General features: G+C 43.5%; 1 protein-coding gene across 11 annotated transcripts in view; it reads left to right on the top strand.

Moving 5' to 3' along the window:
* RTN3 (reticulon 3) overlaps nt 1–8,581 on the top strand; it is a 78,442-nt gene that overhangs the window by 67,556 nt on the left and 2,305 nt on the right. For 5 of the 11 annotated variants that reach the window (NM_201429.2, NM_001265589.2, NM_201428.3 and 2 more), the window contains 5 exons: nt 986–1,193; nt 3,502–3,640; nt 4,064–4,133; nt 4,657–4,703; nt 7,107–7,165. In NM_201429.2, the coding sequence (NP_958832.1) occupies nt 986–1,193; nt 3,502–3,640; nt 4,064–4,133; nt 4,657–4,703; nt 7,107–7,165 (523 nt within the window). The remainder of the gene's footprint in view (nt 1–985; nt 1,194–3,501; nt 3,641–4,063; nt 4,134–4,656; nt 4,704–7,106; nt 7,166–8,581) is intronic. The other 6 variants (XM_011544730.3, XM_011544731.3, NM_201430.3 and 3 more) reach the window with 4 other exon arrangements.

Consider the following 8,581-nt stretch of genomic DNA (forward strand, 5'->3'; position numbering starts at 1 on the left):
GCATGGTGGCTCATGCCTGTAATCACAGCACTGTGGGAGGCCACAGCAGGAAGATTGCTTGAAGCCAGGAGTTCGAGACTAGCCTGGCAGCATATTGAGACCCTGTCTCTACAAAAAAGAAAAAAGTACCTGGACATGGTGGCACATACCTGTAGTCCTAGCTACTCAGAGGCTGAGGTAGGAGGCTTGCTTGAACCCAGGAGTTAAAGGCTGCAGTGAGTAATGATAGTGCCACTGCTCTCCAGCCCAGGTGACAGAGTGAGACGCTGTCTCAAAAAAGGGAGGAGGTAGTATTGTGGCTTGGATAATTATATGGTCCCCTATACATAATCCTTCCTGAATTCTTTTCAGATTAACATTGAGACTGGTGTTTCTTTATAACTAGCACTAATAGTGCTTGGTCTATTTTTATTTACCACTTTCTTTGCCCCTGCCCCAATTTATACACTGGGGCAAAATTAGCTTTGGTTTTATAGTCTGTTCACCTAACTAATTTATAGGCCTGGTTTGCATAATTTAGTTAACAGCAAGATTTTGCCACACCTGCTTTATCATCCTTTCTGCCAAACTATTTAAGGTAAATGGCACTTTACCCCGGTGTATTTCCATAGCTGAAATAAGCTCTTAAATTTTTATAATCCTATCCTGAAACCTAATCGGTGTAGCAGAAGAACGTTTTGCCTCGTGAGTTATCACCCCTGACATAATTTGATTTTCATTTATAAGATTCTCTTAGAACCAAGTACAGTGGCACACACCTGTAGTCTGGCTACTCAGGAAGTGAAGGCAGGAGGATCACTTGAGCCAAGAGTTCCAGGCCAGCCTGGGCAACATAGTGAGACCCCATCTCTTTAAAAAAACAAAACCAGATTATCTTAAAGTGGGGCATACCTGTATTTGTGTGCTAATGTGAGGCTCCACAGGTATGCAAGACATAGTAGCTGTGGATGTTTCTTATAACTTATATTCCCTTTTCTTTTGTCAGTGCACGATCTGATTTTCTGGAGAGATGTGAAGAAGACTGGGTTTGTCTTTGGCACCACGCTGATCATGCTGCTTTCCCTGGCAGCTTTCAGTGTCATCAGTGTGGTTTCTTACCTCATCCTGGCTCTTCTCTCTGTCACCATCAGCTTCAGGATCTACAAGTCCGTCATCCAAGCTGTACAGAAGTCAGAAGAAGGCCATCCATTCAAGTGAGTTGAAGTCTTAAAAGCAACATTCTACATTTTAGTGGAAGGGTTCACTGAAGCTGATAGGTCTAAAACTCAGACCTGACTAAAAATCAAGAATTATGGGGCCTAATGCAGCTGATTGGTGGCATGAAGCATCCCCTAGAGACCTTGAAATCACCTTAAGAAGTGGCCAAGTTAGAAGCCAAGAACTTTTTGACAAATTAGAGGCTCATACTTGAAGTTCAAAGAGGGAGTCCTTCAAAGAAGACTCTAAATTCTTTTTTTTTTTTTTTGAGACGGATATTGCTCTTGTTGCCCAGGCTGGAGTACAGTGGCGCGATCTCAGCTTATCGCAACCTCTGCCTCCCAGGTGAAAGCGATTCTCCTGCCTCAGCCTCCTGAGTAGCTGGGATTACAGGCATGCGCCACTATGCCCAGCTAATTTTGTATTTTTACTAGATACGGGGTTTCTCTATGTTGGTCAGGCTGGTCTCAAACTTCTGACCTTGGGTGATCCGCCCGCCTCAGCCTCCCAAAGTGCTGTTTTTTTTGTTTTTTGTTTGTGTGTTTTTGAGACAGAGTCTCACTCTGTCGCCCAGGCTGGAGTGCAGCGGTGCAATCTCGGCTCACTGCAAGCTCCTCCTCCTGGGTTCATGCCATTCTCCTGCCTCAGCCTCCCGAGTAGCTGGGACTACAGGCACCCACCATCACGCCCGGCTAATTTTTTTGTATTTTTAGTAGAGACAAGGTTTCACCATGTTCGGCAGGATGGTCTCGAACTCCTGACCTTGTGATCCACCCGCCTCTGCCTCCCAAAGTGCTGGGATTACAGGCGTGAGCCACCGCTCCCGACCATAATGTTTGTATTTTTAGTAGAGACAGGGTTTTACCATATTGGTCAGGCTGGTCTTGAACTCCTGACCTCGTGATCCACCCGCCTCGGCCTCCCAAATCATGCATGGGATTACTATGCATGAGCCACCGTGCCCGGCAACTCTAAATTCTTGAGCAGGGCAGGGAAAGCAGAGCACCTAGAGCAGCGCTCGGTTAGATGGGGTTCCAAGTGCATGTTTAATCCCCCACATAGGTAAGACTTGACATGACTTTCAAACCTTGTTGTGTCTGTGCTTTGGTAATACCAGAACTCAGTGTTTTCATTCTTGGTTTATTACTGATTTCCTCCGTATCTCTTACTAGTTTTCTTAACGCTGGAGGTCTTAATGAAGTCAGTAATCTTCTGACTACATTTCTAGTATACAATTTCTAGCTTTTTTGATTGTGCTGTAACTTTAACTAATGTTTTCTTCACACTTTCCTCTTGAAAATCTTACCCCATAAACAATGTTGACTTTAACGTGAGCAAATGACAGTTTTTTGAAGGCTCTTTTTTCATAGAGAAGGAGACCCTGCTGTGACCTCTCAGGACTACAACAGAATAGGTTTCTGGCCACACCTGTGCTCCTTGTATTTTCTCTTGGTGGAAATAGAAGGAATAACTTACAACTTTATGTGGCATTAAAAATTTTATTGCAGTTCAGGTGCGGTGACTTACGCATGTAGTCTCAGCACTTTGGGAAGCTGAGGCAGGCAGATCGCTTGAGGTCAGGAGTTCAAGACTAGCCTGGCCAACATGGTGAAACCTCGTCTTTACTAAAAATATGAAAATTAGCCGGGCAAGGTGGCAGGTGCCTGTAATCCCAGCTATTCAGGAGGCTGAGGCAGGAGAATATCTTGAACCCAGGAGGTGGAGTTTGCAGTGAGCTGAGATTGTGCCATTGCACTCCAACCTGGGCAACTGAGCAAAACACCATCTCATAAAAAAACTGCTAAAAAAAACCCCCAGTACCCTGTTTTTATGTGTTCTGGGCTGTTAATTACAAATACAAATGTGGTTTTCCAAAATGTTTTTTTTAAAAAACAAAAACAGCAAAATTTTAGCATAAACAAAATATAGTTTTAGAAACTCCAGGATATGTTAATGTTAAAACTGCTAAAAAAAAAAAAAAAAGTACCTTGTTTTTATGTGTTCTGGGCTCTTATTTATAAATGGATTTACCTTCATGAATATCCAATGAGGTAGTAAAAGTGACACAGAACATAGGTCAGTTCTTTACTGTGCTTGACTGTCCCATGCTTTGCAGACATCTGGCATATTTGCCTCTGCCCACTAAATGACAGTGTGTCTCCACCCCACCTGATGACAACAAAAAAATGCTCCTACAGGTTCTAACATGCACCCTGGGAACCAATTTTACATTCTCAGTAACTACTGTGCTAACAAAATCTTCTTCCATGTCAAATGTATGACTGTTATTTCTTCTTCTGGAAGAGCCTACCTGGACGTAGACATTACTCTGTCCTCAGAAGCTTTCCATAATTACATGAATGCTGCCATGGTGCACATCAACAGGGCCCTGAAACTCATTATTCGTCTCTTTCTGGTAGAAGATCTGGTTGACTCCTTGAAGGTTAGTTGTTTCTGCAGCTCTTGGTGGTAAAACAGAAAAAGCAGGGACTGGGTTATAATTTGGAGGAAAAACAGTACATAGGATTTTATCAGACAAAAATGAACGTATGCTTAGCTCAGTCATTCTATAATGGGATAGGTGTCACTAGAGAAAGGTATAGCCTTCTGCTGGGGAACAAATATCAGAAGAGAGGTGATATAATTGGAAGCAGTGCAGTTTCAGTCTTTGGACCTCAGAAAACTACAGACTTCACTCACATACCTTCAAATGTATAACACAAGTAGGGAACCTTCATTTGGAAATTGTCCATGTCACACATCACTAAATTTATGCAGACTTAATTAGCTGGAGGAGAATGACATCAGTTAATGTGAATTTTGCCTTACGGTTATTCCTGCTTAACTTTTGATATGGCCTTCACAGCTGGCTGTCTTCATGTGGCTGATGACCTATGTTGGTGCTGTTTTTAACGGAATCACCCTTCTAATTCTTGGTAAGGTGGCAAGGAGAATGTGCCCATGCTCTTTGAAGTAGTTTGTAAGAATAAGAGTGAAGAGAAAGCCCAGCATGGCTCTACTCATTCTTCATTGCCCAGTCTTGACCCATAGAGACCTGGGAGTAGAGGCACTGGAGGAACCGGAGTTTGTGGTCACAGGTTTATGAAATGGTCTCAGTTATAAATTAAGAAATATCAAAACAGCTGGAAGTAAAGGACAGTTGTCTAGATTTGGTTTACGTATGGGGATCTTATTTACAGAAACCATTTTGGTAATTTGGAAATTGTTATTTGTGGTACAAAGAAGGTAGCCTGTATACCTGAAGAGGTTTTTTTTGTTTTGTTTTAACACTACCTTAAATTAGCTGTCTTAATTGGGAGTGCTAACCAGGATTTCTCATTTTGAGGAATGCCTGTGTTTTCCTGTATTTTTTGAGGAAAAATGTATATGTTACTCTGAGTCTTAAGATGTGACTGTCTCTCATATACACTTGCCATGTCCCATGATTCTGTCTTACAGCTGAACTGCTCATTTTCAGTGTCCCGATTGTCTATGAGAAGTACAAGGTAAGCATTTATCTGTTCCAAATCAAATGTGCCAGTTGATGTATGACTAGTTGTAGTTCATTTCTGAGACATTGAATGTTCAGAGCAGTCTTTTTATAACTATTTCTACAATCTAATTTTGTGAGTCAAGTGCCTATAAGAAACTGGTGGCAGTAGTTTCCTCCAAGGAGAGAAACTGGATATTTAGGAGAGAGATGACTAGGAAAGAGAAACTTCCTTTTTATACTTGTGTGCCTTTCGAGTTTTTAATCATGTAGATGTATTTTCTATGCAAAAGTAATAAGTTGAAAAAATGCTTAGGCCAGGGGTGGTGGCTTGTGCCTGTAATCCCAGCACTTTGGGATGCTGAAGCGGGAGAATCCCTTGAGCCCAGGAGCTCAAGACCAGCCTGGGCAACCTGGCAAAACCTTGTCTCTAAAAAAAAATAGCCGGATGCAGTGGCCTGCACCTGTAGTCTAAGATAGGAGAATCTACTTGAGCCTGGGAGACAGAGGTTGCAGTGAGCCGAGATCATGTCATTGCACTCCAGCCTGGGTGATGGGAGTGAAACCCTCTCTCAAAAAGGCCAGGAGCAGTGGCTCATGCCTATAATCCTAACACTTTGGGGGGCCGAGGCAGGCAGATCACTTGAGGTCAGGAGTTCGAGACCAGCCTGGCCAACATGGTAAAACTTCATCTCTACTAAAAATATAAAAATTAGCCCAGTGTGGGGCCAGGCACGGTGGCTCACGCCTGTAATCCCAGCACTTTGGGAGGCCGAGGCGGGCAGATCACGAGGTCAGGAGATCGAGACCATCCTGGCTAACACGGTGAAACCCCATCTCTACTAAAAATACAAAAAATTAGTCGGGTGTGGTGGCAGGCGCCTGTGGTCCCAGTTGCTCAGGAGGCTGAGGCAGGAGAATTGCTTGAACCTGGGAGGTGGAGGTTGCAGTGAGCCGAGATTGCACCACTGCACTCCAACCTGGATGACAGAGCAAGACTCCATCTCAAAAAAAAAAAAAAAAAAACGCTTAGATGGGAGATTGAGACCACGGTGAAACCCCGTCTCTACTAAAAATACAAAAAATTAGCCAGGCATGGTGGCGGGCGCCTGTAGTCCCAGCTACTCAGAGAGGCTGAGGCAGGAGAATGGCATGAACCTGGGAGGTGGAGCTTGCAGTGAGCCGAGATCGCGCCACTGCATTCCAGCCTGGGCGACAGGGAGACTCTGTCTCAAAAAAAAAAAAAAAAAAATGCTTAGATGAATAAAAGCCGGGTGTCTAAAAGGAAACTTTAAACTCTAGGTTATTCAGGTAATCCATCAGTGTGATGAGGTGTTTGCATTGTTGGATGATGTGTACCAAGTATACTAGATGCCATGAGATTATTCTTTATGGATTAAGTCATCCATCAAGAGACTTTTTGGCTTTTTGGTATTAAGTGAATTAGTGTTACACAAGAGCCATAACATATTTATGATGACAGAAAATAGATTAGACACACAGTTTCTAGTCATTGGAAACTGTTATATACTCCAGTGTCTCTAAAGAAAATACTTACCAAGTAAGACTTAACCTCTGCAAAAGATGAGTGATTTTTTCACTTTAACAAAGTGTGGGGTGTTTATGGTGTAATTTGGATTCTAAAACCAGAGGTTTTAAAAATACTTTTAAGGCTAGGTGTGGTGGCTCATGTCTGTAATCCCAGCACTTTGGGAGGCGGAGGCAGGTGGATTGCCTGAGGATGGGAGTTCAAGACCAGCCTGACCAACATGAAGAAACCCTGTCTCTGTCTCTATTAAAAATACAAAATTAGCCAGGCATGGTGGCGCATGCCTGTAATCCCAGCTACTTAGGAGGCTGAGGCAGGAGAATTGCTTAAACCCGGGAGGTGGAGGTTTCGGTGAGCCGAGATCACACCATTGCACTCCAGCCTGGACAACAAGAACAAAATTCCATCTCAAAAAAAAAAAAAAAAAAAAAAAAAAGGCTGGGCACAGTGGCTCATGCCTGTAATCCCAGCACTTTGGGAGGCCGAGGTGGGTGGATCACGAGGTCAGGAGGTCGAGACCATCCTGGCTAACACGGTGAAACCCCGTCTCTACTAAAAATATAAAAAATTAGCCAGGCGTGGTGGCGGGCGCCCGTAGTCCCAGCTACTCGGGAGGCTGAGGCAGGAGAATGGCGTGAACCCGGGAGGTGGAGCTTGCAGTGAGCCAAGATAGCGCCACTGCACTCCACCCTGGGCGAGAGCGAGGCTCCGTCTCAAAAAAAAAAAAAACTTTTAAAAACTGGGTGTTTTCATTTTCTACACTGGTCAGTCGTGTTTAAAAAATGGTTAAACTAGACAAAAGAGCCGTGCCTTCAGGAAAATTGGTGATCTGTATGTTACCACAACTGAATTTATTTTCCTTCCTTAAAGACCCAGATTGATCACTATGTTGGCATCGCCCGAGATCAGACCAAGTCAATTGTTGAAAAGTAAGTACATTTAGAGACCACATCATCATGAGGTATGCTTCCTTCCCCCCAATTATCTTTAGTCCCTTGTACAAAATGCAGATGCCAAGGAAAGTAATTTTCATTTTGATAAAAACCTTAGTTAATAGTTTCATTTTACTAAAAATTATTATAGCTGCTTCTATAAAAAGGAAAAAAAATCCTTTATATCTTTTTCTGGCCCTGCCTTCTGGACCTTTGTAGGCCAGGCATTTTGACTCACATCTGTAATGCCAGTGCTTTGGGAGGCCGAGACAGGAGGATTGCTTGATCCCAGGAGTTCAAGACCAGCCTGGGCAACATAGCTAGGCCTTGTCTCTACTAAGAATAAAAAATTAGCTGTGCATGGTAACACGTGCCTTTAGTCCCAGCTACTGGAGAGGCTGAGACAAGAGGATCAATGGGAAAAAAAAGATCAGTGGAATTTTTTGGAGACAGGGTCTTGCTTTGTCACCCAGGCTGAAGTGCAGTCTCGACCTCCTGGGCTCAGGTGATCCTCCCACCTCAGCTTCTCCAGTAGCAAGGACCATAGGCTACTCTGCCTTTTTGAACTGGCTTTTAAATGTTCTTCATTACAGGCTGGGCACGGTGGCTCACACCTGTAATCCCAACACTTTGGGAGGCCAAGGCCGGTGGATCACGAGGTCAGGAGTTCGAGACCAGCCTGGCCAACATAGTGAAACCCCATCTCTACTAAAAATACAAAAATTAGCCAGGTGTGGTGGCATGCAACTTTAGTCCCAGCTACTCAGGAGGCTGAGGAGGGAGAATTGCTTGAACCTGGGAGGCGAGGTTGCAGTGAGCAGAGACCATGCCATTGCACTCCAGCCTGGGTGACAGTGAGACTCCGTCTCAAAAAAAAACCAAAAAGTTATTGGTTGCTTCCCCACCTTCATTTATTTTCACATGTATTCATTTAAGCCAAACGTATCCCTCTCAGAAACAAAAGTTCTAGTAAATAAGTAACTTAAGGATCAAAGTTGTCTTTTCTAAGATTGCCAAATCTCTGTTCCCATTTTTTTAAACCAATTAATAAATCAGGAAATAAAATATTGACAAACATCTTTATGACTCCCTATATCAAAGAGTTGTTTTCTTCTTTTTACTTTTTTTCCCCATACCTAGAGGACAGTATTTTTTTTCTTTTTTCTTTTTTCTTTCTTTTTTGTTTTGCTTTCTAGAGACAGGGTCTCACTCTGTCACCCAGGTTGAAGTGCAGTGGCACAAGCTGAAAGCTCACTGCAGCCTTGACCTCTGACCTCCCTTGCTCCAAGTGATCCTCCCACCCCAGCCTCCTGAGTAGCTGACACTACAGGCATGTGCCATGCCCTGGCAAATTTTTTATTTTTTATAGAGATGGGGGTCTCACTATGTTGCCCAGGCCAGGCTTTAACTTCT

This window comes from Homo sapiens, chromosome 11 (assembly GCF_000001405.40).
Source record: "Homo sapiens chromosome 11, GRCh38.p14 Primary Assembly".
NCBI lineage: Eukaryota > Metazoa > Chordata > Mammalia > Primates > Hominidae > Homo > Homo sapiens.